Here is a 20,341-nt window from a genome sequence, read left to right on the forward strand (position 1 = left end):
GGACAACATGAGGTAAAGACACAGAAGGTTAAGAAATGAGGAGTGATTCTGCAGGGCTGGACCTCAGGATGAGGTAAGGAGAGTTTCGTAAAAATAAAACTTCAAGGTAAATTTGAGCCAAAACCTGGGCTGCACTGATCACCTAGATAAGAAATTTGGACCCCACGTGTCAGGAAATAAGAACCTTTGGAGGCATTTTCATATGTGTCTCTGTGTTGTGGGATTAGCTTGTCTGTAGCTATACCATGGGACAGCCAAGTTTTGTTTGAGGTGGAAGCATAAGAGAATCAAGTCAGGAAACTCATTAGGGATGATTATTGCATTTACTAGAGATAAATGATGCACACTGCTGACAGTGAGGAATGGAATGAGGGAGACTTGATCATGCCTTTGGGACTCGTGTGGGCTGCAGTGATTTATTGCTCCAACAAGTTCCACCCTTTTATCCCCACAGCTATGTAGGATCAGAAAATTTTAGGGCCGGGAGGGATCTTTGAATTCATTTAGACTCTGCCGAGTGCAGAGATCTACCCACATTCAATCCTAATGCAAATAATGGCAGGCTGGAGGTTTGAATTCAGTAAGCAAAGAGTCACCTTCTTGTTCCTCCACACTCTATATGACATTGGAAAAGTAACTTAATGTCAGTTTTTTAAATCTGTAAAATGAAAAGGATAATACTCATCTCCTAGAAGTGTGGTGAAGAAATAACAAGACGATGAACCAATGACCATCCCTTATATCCCTAGGAGAACAAACAATACTAGGAAGTAGTCAACAGATCTGAATTCTAGGCGGCCCTATTTGTGCCACTCACTACTGGTTGCTTATTCGGGCTAGGCAATTAAATTTGTTAATCTTCATTTTTCTTATCTTAAACATAAGGTGAAGTATATAAGGTGACATCCTTACATATAAAGATGTCAGATGTGATTCCAAGGTGCCATGTATATATAAAATTCTTCTATTGGATATTACAAAATGCCTACACAGTCACCAGGATGGGGGAGAATGTTAAATGGCTCAATGAACAGAGGGGATGTAAATTAGGACGCTAGACTGATTTCTACACAGCATTCCTAATTAGCATATCATTAAGTGCAGTGATTGACCGCTTTCCTTCACTTAATTTTTGTTGCTTCGACATCTCTGGGAACTGCAAGGCATAGTACAAAGAGACAGCAGGTAATTGGAGAATATCTCTCCAACACAAGAGAAAAGCTGATTGGTTGCCTTGTCCTCCTCACAGTCTTTCTTGTAGGATTGGGCTTTGAGTATTGTTCATACTTTAGCAGGGATTGCTATGATTGTCCTGAAGACTCTAACAGCAAGGGCTGGGAAAATGAGCACCTCTACTTTACATAAATGTCCCTACTACCAAGATTCCACAGAAGTGGCCCAAGAATTGTGTGCTGGACAGAAAATAACAAAGGGTAGTGCCAGTATTTTGGCACTCAAGTTGTCTACTCAGAAAGTCTTGGACTGAATCCTTTGCATGACATTTTCAATCTATTTCCCTCTTCCTTGGTGGGAAACTTAACCTTCTTAAGCTTCCTGAAATTGCCTTTTTTGTAAAATAGAGATAATGACATCTAGTCATTAAAACAACAGCCTTGCTTTAAGGAGTAAATGAGTGCATGTTTGTAAACAGCTCAAGAGCTCAATAGATGGTGACATCATCGCTGCTTGGAAATTTTGTTTCCTTGATAAAGGTGACATCTTCCTTTTTTTACCATAAAGACATGCTATAGATACTCCAGTTTATTTCTAAGCCTATTGTGTGCTAAATAAAAATTATTTTTTTAAAAAGTATGGAATTAGAAATATAAGAAAGAATCACTGAAATGTGGAATAATATAAATGTGGTTTTGCCTCTTAATGCCCACCGACTGTTTAAAGAAAATTTCTAACCGTATTTAAAACTACCTTTGGTTTTATAACTACCTTCAGAGATCTTTCAAGGATCAACCTTCTGGTTTTGAAGCAGAAGGGTAAAATTTCACTTACAAAGTGCGTTCTCCTTGTTGCATTTATCCCCATTTGTAAAGCACAGGACGTCTTTCAACTTTATGGCACCACTGCCTTTTTGAATAACCAGACTAACATCCATATGGAATTAGCAGAATAGAAGTGAAATAGAGAAGTAGACTGGGGAGGGGAGAGCAAGGACAAAAAAGCAGAAGCTGTTTCATGCTGTTCTATCCTACAAATCCATGCTCTAAGAGGTCTTCAAGGCAGTTTGTCAGTTTAAAAGCAATTATTCTACTTTTTAATGATAGAAATATATGTAGAAATTCATCAATAAAAAATTTCCATAGGGCATTTTGGCAATAAGCGTAAGGATTAAATATGCCTTTTCCCAGCAATCCCATTTCTTTTTTTCTTTTTTTGAGGCGGAGTCTCGCTCCGTCGCCCAGGCTGGAGTACAGTGGCACAATCTCGGCTCACTGCAACCTCTGCCTCCTGGGTTCAAGTGAATCTTCTGCCTCAGCCTCCCGAGTAACTGGGATAACAGGCGCTTGCCACCACGCCTGGATAATTTTTGTATTTTTAGTAGGAACGGAGTTTCACCATGTTGGCCAGGCTGGTCTTGAACTCCTGACCTCAAGTGATCCGCCTGCCTTGGCCTCCTAAAGTGCTGGGACAGCAATCCTACTTCTATAGATAGATACATGTGTCCATGTAACAAAGAATTATTATGCACTATGATAGTCATTGTTTTTACTAGTAAAATAATAGAAATAACTTATTTTTTGAAGGCCAGCAAAATAAATCATTAGATACCATGTAGCCATAAAATAAAAAGAATGAGAATCAGTATACGATACATAAAACAATATGCAAAACAAGGTACACAGGTTACTTCCATTATATGTATAAACAAGAGGGGGATATATATACACACACACACACACACACACATACACATAAGATAGATAGATACGTATGTATACGAAATATATACACACACTCCCTTCCATAGAATTTAGTCTCTCAAATACAACAAAATGCACCTATGGTGGTTGGTGGGGGGGATTTAGTTTTCACTATTTATACTTTTATAATTCTCAATTTAAAAACTGTACTGTATTACTTTTTCAAAAAGTACAAAAATATTCTATTGAACATATTCAAAGAGTACATGTTCTCTCTCAGTTCCTGGGTCTAAAAGGGTCTAAAAGGTGTTTGGATTACTATCTGATAGGAAGGATCACTGCACATGTGGCACATTGCCTGATGTGCCCAGGAAGAAGAGAGCAAGAAAGAAGACTGTTGCTCCATTTGGAAGAGTATGGTTCTTCTATCAGGCACAAACTCACACAGGTAAAGGCCATAGCACATCTCCTAGCTCACAGCACTCACGTAAAGATAGACGGCCATCACTGTGATTAGCGTTATGTGTAAGTCACAATTTTGGAGAATTACAGGGGTTGGTGCTGTATGTTCCATGAACAGGATTTTATATCTCCAGCCCTGTGCAGACTTCCTGAAAGGGACCTGGAGTCTTTCCCTGATCTCAGCCTCAGGCCCCACCTGCCAGGGGGCTGCTTGGCTTGTACACTGAGAGGAGTTTTGTTTGTGCATTGGTTCTCTTGTGAGTTTGTTGCCTTCTTCAAACAACTGCTGCTCTATTGGAATGGTGAGAATACGCTCCTAGGTTTGAGTTGTCAGAGACTGGAATTTATTCAAGGTCACATAGAAAGGTGTGGTGAGGAGGTCTGTGTTATGCAGCCAGACATCTTGGGTATGATCTGACTTGGCCACTGATTTTAGTCTCATTTTAATCTCACTGTACCTTGGTCTTCCCATTTAAAAACAGGAATACTGATAATTCTTCCATAACAGGGCTGTTGTGAAGACTGTTTGGGTTGCCATACTTACAAAAGTGGCTGTCAGGGACTAAGCACTTACTAAATCTTAGCTATTATTAGTAAGTTACACCTCTGCCTTGTGAAGTAGGGTGAGTTGCCATTATTATCTCAACTGATTCGGAAGCTGAGGCTCAGGACAATTCACCCAAATTCACATCCCTATCTCAGGACCTGGGTTTTAATGTTTGAGTATTAATAAGAGCCAAATATGAACATTTACTAATCACTTGGCCTCTATTTTTCTGTCCATGAAATGGAGACTTTTGGCCCCTTATGTTTAATCCCCTTTCAGAAGGCTTTAACTACAGTAAGCAGTGTTGAAAATAGAGACAAAAATCTCCCAATTTTACCTCTAAAATGGAAATAAACAAAAGTGTGATTATGTTGGGTCCTTTCTGCAATTGCATTTTATACTTAAAGAAAGCAAGAGTAGCTTCTGCTTTGTTGTTCATTTGTTTTCTTGTTTAAAATACTAGTCAGCAGCAGTTTGGGCTGAGTAACCTCTATTGTGGAATAATCGACTGCTTGTAGCTTCCCCACTTACCAGTGATAATAGAAAAACAAAAGTGCACTTTGCTTCCCAACTAATCATCACATATCTAGCCGACTAAATGCTCTCAGAAGCGTATGGCATTTGACAGGAGGTGAGGGAATCGGCTTTCCTGGGTAGTGACTGGCAAAGCCAGCCTCATTCTCTCAACACCATCCAACTGAGCAAGGGGAAGTAGAGGTCTAAGTGGTAGACTCTAGTCACTACCGAAAAGTCACTTGCATCAGAGACAGATTCCCACAGCTTGCTATCACACTCCATAAACATTTACGAATCCGATGTTCTTGTGCCAGGCTCTGTGCTAGGAAGTGCATGAGTTAAACATTTTTCTCTCTTTCTCTCCACGGACATTTTTAATGGAAGCTGCGGTGGAGGAGCTGCCTTGACTGTGTGTGTTGTTTTAAGGATATCGATTGTTAACACAATGACGGGTCAGGAGATGGAAGGCACAGTCATTAGCTGCAGCCGCCCTCATAAGTTGTTACAGAGCTCAGAGAAACACTAATGGATAAACAAGGTCGACAGGAACATGAGGGGCCAGATCAGAATGTCCCAAGGTGGTAAAGTCTTAGCCAGGCATTTCTTTCCCTAAGCAGCGAACAAAAAAACATTAGTATTGATGTTCGGGGTAGGCAAAGTGTACAATGAAGAATGACTTCATTCCAGCTTGCCCATCATAACAAGGGCAGGAGATGATTTAAAAGCTGCCCTCCTTGTACAGAGATGATGCAATAAAGATGATCCATGGTCACCTGCAATTGATCTTTGGGGTATTTCTTCTTCTTTTCAGTAATGGAAGGGAGTACCGAGTCAGGTCTATAAGCAGCAATAACCACTGTGAACATTTACTGAAAGTGAACCTGGTGACAGTGTTTCCAGTGCTTTCCATATGCCATCTAAGTTAATCCTTACAAACACTCTATAGAGTATCATTTATTATTCCTGCTTCACAGATTAAGAAACGGAGGCTCAAAGAGATCAAGTTGCTTGCCCAACTTCTCCCCAGTCTTGAGAGTTGAATCTAAGGTTCAAATTCAGTCTACAGAAACTAGAGTGACCAGTTCATCCCAGTACACATGAAACTTTCTGTTTTGACACGGGAAGTCCAACATCCTGAAAACCCTCTAAGTCCCAGGCAACATGGAATCATTTGTCACCGTAATTGGAGCTCAAACCATGGACCATGCGGTGTCTTGTAGAATAGAAATAAGTATACTAAGGTTGGAAACTTAGACCTGATTTCCCACATGTGCATAAAGTGGTAGCTCATCTAACTGGCCTCTACAGCATAACTACTCAAAGTGTGACCAGTGGGTGGACCAGGAACATTTAACGTCTGGGAGCTTGTTAGAAAGGCAGAATCTCAGGCCACATCTCAGACCCACTGAGTCAGGATCTATATTATAATATAATCTTCAGGTAATTTGTACAAACACTAAGTTTTGGGAAGCAAGATTTCAAAATCCTTTCCAGAACTATATTACTGTGATCCTGAATCAACTACTGTAATATGGACTTCTTTTGGGTACCAGCTCTATAAAGGATCCCAAGTAGAAAGGAAGGGTTCCCAGCCATTAGGGATGTTCACTGTGGAAACCAGGGATGGGCAGCACAGGCAATGTGTAATCAGGCCCACACGTCATGCCATACACTGATTTCCGTGAGAGGAGACAATGTGTCGTGGGGAAAGAACCCAGGCTTTGAACTCAGACTGACTTGGGCTGGAATCCTGACCCAGCCAACTGCTGCCTAGGTGACCTGGGGCAATGTGGAACTTCCCAGGGCCTCAGGATGCTTACTGTAAAATGGTTAAAATTTCCCATCTCAGTGGTTCTTAATTCTGGCTGTCCTTCATAATTAACTGAGGGGTATTAAATGAAAATGCAGATGCCTGACTCCACCTTCAGAGAATTTGGTTATACTGGACCGGGATAGCGCTTTGACATTAGTATCATTTCAAAGTTCCCCAGGTGATTCTTTTGTACAGCCAGGGTTTAGATCCACTGATGTTCCCCTTAAGGCTGGTGGTGAGGTGCCAATGGAATAACTCATGGCAGTGCCTGGCACAGCAGGCATTCATCCCATATTCAATTCTTCTTCTGTGAGCAGTGGCCACATCACCTGTTATCACCTATCGGCATCAGGGCTGTTCACAAAGGGAAGCTGAGAATTCTCAAAGGAAACCAAGAGGTCCATAAAGCTCATGCCTTAAGCTTCTCACTACAGTATTTGTACTTATTGATTTAAAAGTGAGAAAAAAACCAGATGGGTGCCATAAACGAAGTGATTCACCAGGTTAGTATTTAGGATCCTACACAACTTTTCTTTTAAAGGAAAAAAATTAATCAATCTGCCTTCCAATTTACCTTTTAACTGATACATTTTCCTTAGTATACAAATCCTAAGAATGCCCACAGACCTCTAAGCTATAGCCCACCATTCCTCAGGGCAGCTAATTAAAACACGTGATGGTAACGGTGACTTCCTTATTGTGTGCTGCAAGGGAAACACTTCCCAGCAGTTACCATGGTGGTACCTCAAAACAAGAGCGTCATAAGTTGTAAATTGTCACAGGACTTTACAAGCAGACCTTGGGAGAAATCCTAATAATTCTATACAGGAAGGGCAGAATATTTTGCCTTGTTTTTTTTTTTAAATAGTAGGTCCATTCAGCCAAAGAAATCTGTCTTTAAAAGTCCAGCAACACATGGAGGAATAGATAAAAATCAATACCGAATTCCTCTTCAATTCCTAAGCAATTATTAATAAACTCTCTCAGTTTTCAATATGTCCATCCCCATTAGAGTCTTGCAGGGGAAAGAGTATGGGGCATGGAATCTCAGGGTTCCTGCCCTGCTCGCTTTCTCTTCCTGCCTCTAAGTCTGAACTCTCCCATTGGTATAGAAAAATGACAAAGAATAGATTAGATGTGGCCTCTAAGGTATATTGAAACCACAATACAAGAGGCTATTTGATGAAGTAACGAAATGCTTCTTCCCTCAATGTCCTCAGAAATCTCTGCTGGAATGTTAAACTGCATAGCTGAACATTTATTTCCAAGTTGTTATTTTTCAAACTCCCCACTTCTTTTACTAATTCACTTGGCTTTTCACACCTTCATAACAAGGTCCATTTATACAGTGCTTTGGAGATTATAAAGTTTGTATTCAAATTTCATTACACTTCACTGTCAGACTTTTCAACTGATTGTATTAAGTACTGATGCAAAGAAAGATTCACTAATTTGTCCAAAGCCGTGCTACCAGAAAGTGACAAAGTACATACTTGAACCAGGAGGATTGGTGAAGAGCTGCCAAAAGCTCTTGAACCATACTTCCTTTCCCTCTTAAGTGTATCTTCCCCAACCAAACTCTTACTGATACTTGAGGTGGCTTTGCAGAAATACTCTCCCATTTAAATTGCTACTTATAGATCAGGGGCAAGATCTCTCTGCAGGTCTTTGGCCAATTTGTCCTGAGATCTATTCTTGCTCTTCCTCTAAGCTACAGACGTAGAGGCTAAAGCCTGCAGGATACATTTCCCAGGCCACCTCAGTCGGCCTCGGCTCAGTTCTACCAATGAGCGGCAGAAGGCAATGGATTGGAGGGCAAGAGAAAGGGAGAAACCAGGGTATTTTTCTGTCTCTCTCTGAGTGTAATGTGGGATCCCCTCTATGATTCCTGCTCCTGCCAGGAGGCCCTGGGCCCTGGCCTTCAGGAGTCTCTCTTGTGTTTCCATCTATAACTACCAGTTTCTTGCGATTGCTACTCTATGAATTGTCTCACCATTCCCCATGTGGCTTTTCAGCTCTTCTATCACCTATATACCAAATTATCTACATTAAATTATTTCTATGTAATTTACTAAGCATGGTTCCTAGTTTGACCCCAACAGGCAAAATCACTTTTCTCAATTTTCATACATTTGTATATGAGTTGGAGAAAAAGAAATAAAGAATTAAGCTTAACTGTTTACCATGTACTTTCCAGTGCTAGGCACTTTTATGTGTATAGCATATTTTAGTTCTCCAAATAGAACCGTGAGAAACATTATTATATTATTATTATTCTCCTTTTACAAAGAAACAAAACTTTACAAATGTGAGATGACTTTCCCAAGGACACAGCACTACTGAATGGAAGAGATACAACTGTAAAGTAGGCCATTTTTCCTACTTATCAGTCATGGAACAAAGACTAGACTGGGATTCCATCTTGAACAAATGGTAGAGATGGGGTCACTGTAAATATCAAAGAGATCGTAGCACAGCTAATTTGGACTTTTTTTATAAGCATTGAGTTAAATAGTGAGACAGCAAAAACATACAGTATACAATTAATATAAGCTTTACTATCTACACTAAATATAGACACTAGAGGAACTGAGGCAGTAGAGAAAGCCTGGATCCTTCCTGCCTGAGGCCAACTGTCTTAATCTGTTCTGGCTGCCATGACAAAAAACCACAGACTGGAGGGCTTAAACAACTGACATTTATTTCTCACGGTTCTGGAGGCTGGGCAGTCCAAGTTCAAGGCGTAGGCCTGGTTTGGTTTTGGTTAGGCTTTCTTCCTGGCTTGCAGCAGTTACGTTCTTGCTACAGCCTCAAATGGTGGAAAGAGGAAGCTCTCACATCTTCCTTTTCTTATAAGGACACTAATCCCATCCTGAGGGTTCCACCCAAATGGCTTCATCTAAACTTAATTACCTCCCACAGGCCCCACCTCCATACTATCATATTAGGAATTAGGGCTTCAATTTATACGTTTGGGAAACAGGGACACAAACATTCAGTCCATAACACCGATGCATGCCTTCTAAGCAGAATTCATATTTTCTGACTATTAATGATTTGATGTAAAAAGACAAGGCAGAATAAAATTATAAATTATGTTCAGATTTCTGTTATGAATTGTAATTTCACAAAGTCAAGTCAAAACACAAACGCATATTGGATCCCAATTATTTGACTCATTTCTCAAGCTATTGGCTGGAGAATGTTTTCAAGTATTACTGTTACAAATAATCTTCCATTCATAAAAATATCTCCCTACCCCCATTCTCCATTGTAAAGAGCACTGAAGTAAGTCTCAGAAGTATTGACATAGAGTCTACACCTTAACAGTCACTAGCTTTGTGACCTTGAGAAAGTTGTTTCAGTCATCTGTGGCTCAAATTCCTCATCTAAAAATAGGAATAATTATATTTTGTCTACTTCCCACAATGGGTCATTTTGAAGATAAAAAAAGCAAAATGTTGACACACTTTGAAAAATACAAATTGCTATACAAGTGTAAGGGATCATGTTTATTAAAGTACATTTACATTCCTTATTGCGTTTTTATCCTCAGAGCAATCTGCTACAACCACTTTCCCTCATCAGCAAAATCCATGAATATGAAAAAAGGTAAGTGTGAAGAGCAACTTTACTAAAGCCCTGCAAATTGTAGGCAAAATTGTATTCATTTTCTTCTGCCATCATAAATGACAACCTTCAAAACTGGAGACCTTCCTAAACATTTTCAGCTACTTGTGCATATAGGGTCTTTTATGCCCATCCCAGCCTGCTGGCAAGGGAATGCCAACATCTGGAGAAAATTCACTTAAGCAAAGTGAAAGCTGAAAACTGAAATTGTATCAGGTGAGTTGCTATTAACTATAATTTTGCTATCTTATATAATTTTAAGTATTTTTCAGACATTTTTGTACATTGGCCTTAATATTCTATAGAGTTAACACCGGCTTTACACTGCAGAGTCCTATGAAAGAAGCAACTAGAAACAGAAAAAAAGATTATGGAATTTATCACATTTAATTTAAAATTTAATTTCTATGGCCTTGTCCTTACTAGGACTTGGGTTAAAAAAAATAAAAAAAATAATAATAAAAAAAGCTAGTGTTTCAGCAGCAAAAGGGACTGTTTCTCTTGTCAATGCCCGAGTACTAGCTTTCATAGGGAATATCAGCCTTAGGGAATGCGTGGAGGAAGTGGATTCCCTTCCTCTCTGCTCTCCCACACCCATTCAGTCTTGCACATCCAACACATATTTCTAAGTGCCTGGCACTAACAAGAGTGCTGAGGACATAGATTAAACAACATTTATCCATTAAAAACTCTCAGCCTACCAACCCCATTCCTGCCCCCATAGCACCCATCTTCCTGTGGGGCAGACAGCATTTTCTGTGAGCATCAATCCTGATACTGCTGCGAATTTCCTTTCTGACCTTGGCCAGGTTACTTTTCTTTTTCCTCTCCACTTACAGAAATGTGATATTACATGTGGGCAAAAAAAGAAAAAACTGAAAGATTGATAAGAAAGAAAAGAGATTCACTACATCCCAGCCAATGCCCTAATACAGGTTCATATGCATTTGAGGTTTTGGAATCAAGAGGGTTTCATGAAAATACCTTCCGTTTCAAGGGCTGTGTAAGCCTGGAGTTCATATGCAATCAGGGCTGACTTCCAGCTGCTTCATAACGATTTTAACGCTGCGACAGAGCAAAGCATCTTCCTATTTTCAATCCTAGCAATTTGGTTCAAGCATGATCTCAACCACTTTAAGCTTTGATATTTCTAGCCACCTCTTATGCTGTATTTTCTCTTAATGCCACCAATCATGTGTGAAATTCTGTTGCAAAACTAATCTTTTTGGGAAATGATATGTAATGGCTTCTCTAAAGAGAGACAGACAGAAAGAGAGAGGGCAGGGACTATGACCTTTGTTGTTTTTTGACATGTTTTTCCTAGTGCAATACAAATGGAAACATCCCTTTCTCAAGGTCAAAGTAGAAATAGGCTTCTGCTTATACAAGCATCATGCTTTCTTAGGCAGGAAAAGCTTTGAAAATGATCCTTATGACTTGATTTTTAAAACCTCTAATGTATATAATGGTTGCTAAACTTGAAAGCCAGCTGTGCTTAAAAAGTACTTTAATGTCTATCTTATTAAGTCAATACTTAATGTATTACATTTCAAATGATGTGAAAAGATCCAGGAATACATAAATGCTATGACTGAAGTACAATATTAAGTCTATATATATAACAAGGAACTATTTGACATTCCAGTATTAAACACACACACACCAACCAACACATCTTGTCTTATCAACGGAGCGTTCAGTCAAAAGCAACTGTGACCGAATCTTCCGGAATGGAAGTCAGAAACCACTAATTTAAATTTGTCATTTGTTTTTTGGAACAACTATGTCATCCACGAAAGCGTAACTTTGCAAGTCATCATTAGCTCATGAATTTTGGAACTTATCCCTTAAATAAGCATACCTCATTTCCATATAATTACAACAACTGTGGAGGTCCTTTTAAAAAACTAGCTTAAAATTTAAGGATGTGATAAGGAATCCATGTCACTGGCATGTTGATCAAATTTGGAATTTGGCTTTTAAAATAGGAACTTCATATGAGATTAAAAAGAGAATAGTCTTGAGGAAGAAATCTTTATGGCTTTTAAAGTTATCTTAGATTTCAGGTTCTTATTCATGACCCTTTCTGATAGTATTCACCTGTTAACATTCTCCAGCCCTGTTTTGTAGTAATTTATTGCATGTAATTTAGATGTATTTGTAATAAGACATAATGGTCAGGACTTCACGCTTTAAAAGGGGGACTTTAGACATAGAAGTTTCTTCCTGAATTATTCTCACCCCTGTCAGCTTCGGGGAGATAGAAACAGTGGCTGAGTGTTTAGAAATAGTCGAGTGGACCTAATTCCTCATAACAGATCACTCAGTACAAACTAATTAGAAGGAGTTAAATGTTTCCACTGAAACCACTAAAAAGGAATGTTTTTCTCTGCTGCCTGCTGCTTTCTGATCGTTTCCTTCCTCATAACCTTGCCATTTAAATATTTTTCTAACACACTAGTTTGGAGGTGAACTTGATGGTCCAGCTACAACCAAAAGTGTAAGTGCTGACATGAGAATGTTCTAAACATCCCAGGGGAAAAAAGTCCTTCCTAAGACAATGTACAAATGCGTCTATTATAGGCAGGGGAATAGGGTTCTGTCCTAGAATTTTCCTACTAGATTTTCTTTTTTTTTTTTTTTTAGCTGTTGTATTAAAAGCTTCCTCAGTGAGGTTTTTGTTTTGTTTTGTTTTTATTATAGGCATGCCACCAAATGTTTTTCCTATTTTCCTTAGGCATTTTAATGAAGAGAGTTGATCCACAACTAACACCAAGGCGAACTTGAATGATTCATTCACACTTTCTAAATTTTGCCTGCCCTTTTCTCTAGGTTTAATTAATATGCCATTAATAGGAACATTTAGGGAGAGCTCTAATATTTGCCTCTTAATTCTGTTTAAAGTGTATCATTTCATTTTTTTTAGGAGTATTCTCATGGGGGCAAGCCCCAGATCCTTCTTGGCTATAAGCTTACCACAGTCTCTACCTGCTTGACTCAGAACTGAAAGCTTCCTGATATGCAGCCACACAGAATTTCTTCAGCACAATCAGCCTCCCATTTTCTCTCCTGATGGCAAAGGGTGAGACATGGCATCTCTCTGGCCAACCATGGGGAATCTGTGTGGTTGACATGACCACTGGCAACGACTCACCTATCCAGCAGTGGAGAAATGTGTCAGGCCAGATGGAAATGGGGAGACAATTCAAACATACGGTGCTTAGAGCTGGAGACAGTGCACAGTTACAACCTTCTGCCAGGCGCTGAGCAATTGCTGGGGTGCACTCAAGCAAATAACCTGCCCTTCATACCAGCACAGTCCTCTTAACCAAACTGTAACTGGGCAGCTCAGTCCATTGTACTGACAACCACCCACAGCCTCTCTTCCTTAATCTAGGGAGAAGTCTCCCAGCTGCCTTGCTTTTATTTCTGGATAAATTATTAATGGCTATTCATCTTTGGCACATGTAATTTTTAACTATCTAAAACATTGATGGGGGTGGGAGGGTAAATTTATAAGTATTTATTATTTTCCCTTGCTTTTACAGTAAATCCCACTCAGGTTGCTGACTGAGATTTTCCCTGCTTCCTTCTCCCATGTGAACCTTATATTTAACTCCAAATGGTGAATGCAAGATCCAAGATTGATAGAATAAGTAACAAAAGTGTCCACGGTGACTGAACAGCAAACTCTGAAATCACAGCACAGGAAGTACAAATGAACGATTATTGAAAACACTGCACTAAAATCTCAATAGGAGATAAGAGTGAGGCTTAAGTCATTAGAAAGCTCTATTATTCTGGCAAGTCTGAGACAGCACACTACAAACATGAGCTGTTCTTGAGATCTGAAAATATTACATCTTCCACCAACTTGCACACACACACAACTGACTCCAACTAAGCAAGGGCAGGGTCCAGTTGTCCAGTCCCAAGGGGAAGGAGGAATGAATTGAAGCAGATAGGCTGAGCCAGGCTATTCAGGTAGTGATTCTTCAGCTATATTTGAAGGGGTGGGGGTGGGGGGCAACACTGACAAATCAGATGATTTATAAAGGAAGTAAATATCCCGCTTTCATATCAATTCACCCGTACCATAGCATCACCATGCTCTTCATCACGCTCTGCTGGGGACACAAATAAAGGATTTGTGACATCTCTACCCCATTCTCACAAGTCACCAGAAAAGCCTAAGAATGCAGCATTGCTTTCCCTTTGTCCCTGTTCTCCCTGACTTGATAAACCATTTGCAGTTGAAAAATGAAGAAGAAAGTAATGGCCAACCAATTTGCAAAGTGAAAGCATTGCTTGGAAAAATTACCTGAAATCGCTACAATTTTGAACACGCACACACATTAAGATACATACACATGTACACATATATGTGTGTGCGTACATACATACATATATAAATACATAGTCTTCAGCATTTTCAAACATTAGGATGCTATTGAATTTTAACATGCCTGAAGTGTACTGCTCAATTCTTTTTGCCCTCGCTCTTGTACCACACATTTTTTTTTTAGAGACAGGTGGGCTCCCAAAGTTGTGGATATCTAACAGCTTGTACGAGAAGCTGCATAGCATAACCCGAAAGAAACAGCATTCCTGAATACATAGGATTTCCTCTGGGAGCAGAAAAACATTTCTTATACCAAAATTATGGTAAGACAATGTTCAAGACACTGAGGGCAACTTTAGCCTTGCCTTTCAAAGAGTAGAGTTTCATCTAAAGTAAGTAGGACATCACATTTCAATTCGTACTATTAAAAACTTGCATTACACAATGAAATTGATTACCCTATGAATCACTCTGCTTTACAAGAGGCTGAACTAGCATACAGTTAATAACACAAGCTAGCCCACTGAACATTTCTCCAATAGTCACACGATAATCCAGTCCAGCATGGATGGCCTTTGACCAGTACTTTTAGACTCTACTGCTATTCTAATTGGCCCTACTTCCTCACGACGATCACATAAGGAATTGTTTCAAGAGGGTGAAAATATAAACTAAAATTATAATCTGTTTCATCATCCTTCAGTATCATTACTGATGCTGAAATTGTATTTTGTCCAAAAGACCTATTATCTTTACAAGCTTTTCCATTTATGAAAATATATGCATGATAAACTCTGTTAGTGGCCAATAAACAAGCTTACCACCTCCATTACTACCCACTGGAAAGAGATGGTTTTTAACTACAGATTCTGCTTAAATTTGGCAATGCAATGAAATTGTTTCTTCCAAATCATTTTCAGCTATTTTAAGACTTCTCTTCTAATATGATACAAATTATAGGCAAATCAAAACTGTCAAGACAACTAAAGGCATTTAGCTTTTGGAACTTAGATTCCTTCCACACACTCTCAAGTGTCTCAAAGCCTAAAGGAAACAAAACAGAGCAAATAGTACATACAGAAATAAATTTCCAACAAACTAATAGTGCCCCAACCTAAGTTTATCTAAATACCTCTTTAATCTGAAAGAAGACGCTAGATTTAATATTTAAAGCAAACCAAGAAATCAGAGCATTTGCATCTTGGATACATTTCCTAGCCCCTCTCCAGTTGCTCTATCAAACCTTTTAATATCGCATAGATGCCCTTAAATGATGACGCCAGATAGGACTTACAGAAGGAAAGCATAACTTCAGAGAGGAGGAACAAATATTCAGTCCTTATCTTTGACTTCTTCTTATTTAGTGAAGGGGCTTGCCTCCTGTACTAGCAGTAAGTTGCGGCGTTAGAGTGCAAATGCACAGCTCCAAGCCCACTTCCAGTGCTCAACTGATAGCTCGGATCCAAGCCTCAACATGCTTTCTGGAAATGCAGGCAGCTCAACTGAAAACCTAACTGAGGTTTCTACCGTGGCACAAAACTGACCTGCACAAATATTTGACATCTCCGAGACCTCTAAAGGTTTCAAATAATATGCATTTTGTGCTAGGCTGCTCCTAGCTAGACAGAGCACTGAGATGATATAGAGAAGTGTTCTCAGCTGCTCAACCACACTGCTCACTAGACAATGTTTTCCTTTTCCGCCTCAGAACAAGAAAAACCAGCAAATACTGAATGAAATGCTCATATTGACTAAGCTTTCACAGCATCAATTGTATAGAAACTTTGTTTCACATTCCATTAAGTTAGCTCATGACTTCCCACGCTGCACTATTTCTCCTTCACCTAGCTAAAAGAGCCAACTTCATTCAGGCAAATCAAGGCAAAGTTTACCCCCCCGCCCCCTCCACATGTCCCTGTCTCTTTTCTTTTCCAACTTAAACTCATCCACGGCTAAATTAACAGCCCCAGTTGTGGCACAAAGGAAGCTTTGAAGGCTGCACCGGCTTGGTCCTCCAGTTGCCAACTGGAGGTAGGTTTAATGTAACATATTCTTGCTGCTTAAAGAATTTTTTAAGGGCTTGTCTGCACGGATGAAGAGCCGGACACCCCCAGAATTACATCATCAGAGTGAACACTCACCAAAATACATTATGTTTCTCATTAATCAGACAGCTGGAATCCCACCGCGGTGTCTTCAGCATCAGCTCTCACCCAAGGCTGGCACGTAGAGCAGAGCCCTTTCATGCTACATTCGGTGGAAATGTCCCCGGCGTGGAGAGCAGTGAGCGCCGAGAGCGTGCCTCCTCCGCGGGATGAGCGCCTTGCAGGCTGCCTTTCCAGGGCTAAGATCCCCGGCGGCTGGAGAGTGCGCTCGGGCTGCCTGCTGCACTGCCCATCCTTACTGTAATCCGACTCCTCCTTGCGATGTCCTTGCCGCGCCTGTGACATCAGGACTGAGAGTACTACAAGCAGACCCCTCCACCCCACCCCACCCCACCCTGGGTTAGCAGCCGCTCCACGAGGTGCTCCGACTGCCTGCCTGGACCAACCATGGCTCTCGGGAAGCTTTGACGAGCCCAGAGACTTGGGAAGGGGCGGAGTGAGGGGCGCGGGAGGCTCTCTTAAAGCGAGAAGAGTGTCGGGATCCACACAGGAACACACAGGAGAAATTCACCACTGTGCAGGAGGGACGTGGTTAAGGCGAGTTCTGCCATTAACGTGTAATTAGACAACACTTTTACCCCGCCCCTCCTGTGAATGCCACCATTCTCTCCAAAATTTAACCTCCTCTACCAAGTTAAAACGGCAGTACGAAGAGGGATGGTGCCGTGCTTGCATTCTCTTTGCTGTGGGCTTGAGGGTTTGTTGTTATTTTTTGTGATGTTTATATATAAGAGGAATAAAAGGAACGCCAGGGACCACTGCTAGGGTAATAGAGGTTCACACTTAGAAGTGATCACATCCCAGAAAGCTAGTACTTGGTGAAGTGTAATTTTTTATTTCTTGAGTGTTCCCTGAGCTATTATGTTGATAGAAAGATGTGAAGAAAAATAACTGGTGATAAAAGTCACCTCTCAGTTGCCCAGGACCAAATTTGCTGCCTCCCTTAGTAGGCAGGTAGAAAGCACACTGAGGCTGAAATGATCTTTGACCTCCTGAAACGGAGAGACGATTAGCCTGAAAGGCAACCAACATTGTGCCATAGTTAGAGTCCAGTCACCAATATAATATAGCCACACACACACACACCCACCCCCCTCCCCCCCCCACCACACACACACACAACGCTCTCATTAAATTTGAGATGAACGGTCAAGAAAGGCAAAGCTTAGCAAAGCCTCTGGCTCCTCCAATGGTATAATGAATTGCAGTCCTTATCTTACATAGAAAAGGATATTAGAAAGAAATCCCTGAAAGCTGTGCTGATTAATACTTAAATGCACAGCATGGAAAAAATAAACTCATACAGCAAGTTCCGTTTCCTAAGGACTCATCACTTTGGGAACCAATTTACGTACTGGAACATTTGAACTTATAAATTTCTATAGACATTTATGAAATTAAGAACCAAATATAAACAAAGAACTGTAGTCTATGGAAGAATGCAATTGATATATTTTTAATCTGGGCTTTTATAAAAGTGTGATAGCAAAGATTTCTACATTTTGATATTAAAATATTCTATAGCATTTCCTTACGCGATTCTATATCTCTTGGTGGATTTAATGTGCATAGAAACTAGGGGGCTGAAGCTCATAATAACGGCTTTCTGTGCAATCTTGCATAAAAGCTTAACTGTATTCTACCTCTGTGAAGAGTGCAATGAACAATATCCTCTCTCACGCTAGATTATAAAGAATTTGGTGAGTGAAAGTAGGTAAGCAAATATAAATCAGAAACATCACAGTGAATCTTAAGATAAATCTAGGGCTGTTCTTTTAGAAATACTCTTAATTTAAAGCCACCAGAGGAAAATTTACATAGTAAAGGATATTAACTTTTTTACTCCCTTTTAAAAATTAAAATAAAAACAATGTTACGGGAAAGTATTGAAGAAAATGCGTAAATGTTTTTTCCTTTTGGACAAATGGAAATTGTCCAAAAGTACAATTAGTAGTTCTTCCCTCAGGCAAAAGAACCATCTGTGGTAGAGCTTATTCATGAAGCCTGTAAGCTGCCTTGACCTCCTACATGTGCTAGGGGGCACTGTAGTTTAATGTTAGTGCTTTGGGTCCATTTGAGTTCCTGTAGTTGGAAGATGCAAGCATTGAGAGTTGAGTTTCAAATAGGAGATTTGAAACATTAAAGGACTACCTTAATCATTAATAACACGCTTGCATTTGCATGACATTTTACAGTTAAAAGGCACTTTCACATGTCATCTTTATTACTAACAAATTGAGATATAGAAAGGTGGATATTACAGATGTCACAAATGAAGAACCTGAGGCTCAGAGATGTTAAGCAACTTTCTTAATGATGTGATGAGTAAGAAACAGTTGTCTTACTATTTGTTTGTTGAATTTATATTACAGTTCTCCAACAGGTTTCCTTCTTCAAATAAATGTGCTATTTATAATGGCTCAGGTAAAAGTCACCCCCAATAAAACAATGTCACTGCATGTTCTAGAAACAAATATATCTATATGGTCACAAATACATCAGCAGGGAGCATCTGGTAATAGAACATGCCAATCTTTGCCTGGTAGTATACCCCAAAAAACAGCATGTAGCCTTTGAAAGAATATGGCATTCCAGAAACAATTGAGTGTAATATCTATACAATGTAATTCTGTTCAAACAGAAAAGGAAGATGCCCTTTTAAATTAAAGATATGTGCCCCTCTTCCCTGCAATTAAGGCTTATCTGGAATGTAGAAGCTTAAGATACAAAGTTGTTTATCTCTGGATGGAAAACAAGTGATGTTTGTTTTAATTGTATACTTTTTCCTGTTTTACATAAAACTATTTTATTTATTTGTATACATTTATTAAAAAATGCAACTTTGGTGGTTGTTGTTGTTGTTGTTGTTGTTGTGTGTGTGTGTGTGTGTATTTGCGTTTTGTACTTTGAGCAACATCTCCCTAATACTCTCACCCTGCAGCTCTGGTAACCATTTTATTCCTGTTTCTATAGAGTTTGACCTTTTTACACTCTACATATAAGTGAAATCATTGGGTATTTGTTTTTATGTACCTGGCTTATTTCACTTAAGACAACAATGTCCTCCAGGTTTATCCATATTGTCACAAATGAGAGGATCTTCCTCTTTTAAAAGGTTGAATAGTATTCCATTATGTATATATGCGACATCTTTGTTATCCATTCATCCACTAGTGGAAACCTTGCTTGATTCCTGTGAGTAATACTGCAATGAACATGGTAGTACACACATTTCTTCAACATATTATTTTTTTTAATTTTGAAGCATAATAATTTCCAAATGAAACCACAGCTGATCTTGGCTAGATAGAGGATTGTGAACATGCCAGCTGTGCCTGAGAGATGCTTTCATATGTCATCTCAAGGGAGCGACTTAGCAGCTTCTAGGGAAGAATCTGGTTCACACCCTGACCTTTACCTGTCTCTAAGAATCTGTGAGAACCTAGGAGCTTCTGAAGGTGAATTAAGTCAGTTCATCTGGGGTCAGCTGTAGCACCAACCTGCTTGCCAGATAAAATTATACCTAGCACTATTAAAACAAAGGATGCCTTCAAACCACTTACATATTTTGTATTAAAATATCATGGTTGGGTGAAAATTTTTTCTGTGTTCTAAGATCCGGGTAGCTGCCTGCCTTGACTCCTCATCTCATTCAAATATTGCTCAAAGGTTTATCAGTGTACTAATTCACTGTCTTTTTTTTTTCCAGTTTTAAAATGCCTTTGTCCCTCCCCTGACATTTCTTAACCTCCTTTCCTCCCTTATTTTTCTCCATGGCAACTATCATCATCTGACACACTATTTTAGACGTCTGTTTATTTTTGATTTCTCCTCACTGGAATATAATCTCAGTGAGGGCAGGGATTTTATCTGTTCAATGCTATATCTACAGTTCTTAGAAAGGTACCTGCTACTTGTCATTATACAATAAATATTTGTGAATGAGGGAATGAATGAATGAGCATCCTAAGTACAGCTGTATTGTGTGTA

The 20,341-nt window shown here is 39.6% G+C and overlaps 1 protein-coding gene across 17 annotated transcripts in view; it reads right to left on the minus strand.

Moving 5' to 3' along the window:
* The window catches only part of ZNF385D (zinc finger protein 385D), a 960,546-nt gene that overhangs the window by 322,350 nt on the left and 617,855 nt on the right, over positions 1-20,341 (minus strand). For 2 of the 17 annotated variants that reach the window (NM_024697.3, XM_017007196.2), the window contains exon 1: positions 16,328-16,643. The exons of 13 other annotated variants lie outside the window; for them this stretch is intronic. In NM_024697.3, coding sequence (NP_078973.1) covers positions 16,328-16,349 — 22 coding nt within the window. In that variant the 5' untranslated portion in view covers positions 16,350-16,643. Of the gene's footprint in view, positions 1-15,480; positions 16,303-16,327; positions 16,644-20,341 lie in introns of those variants that run through there. 2 more of the 17 variants (XM_017007197.2, XM_047448959.1) reach the window with 2 other exon arrangements.

The sequence above is a fragment of the Homo sapiens genome, chromosome 3, assembly GCF_000001405.40.
Source record: "Homo sapiens chromosome 3, GRCh38.p14 Primary Assembly".
Taxonomy (NCBI): domain Eukaryota; kingdom Metazoa; phylum Chordata; class Mammalia; order Primates; family Hominidae; genus Homo; species Homo sapiens.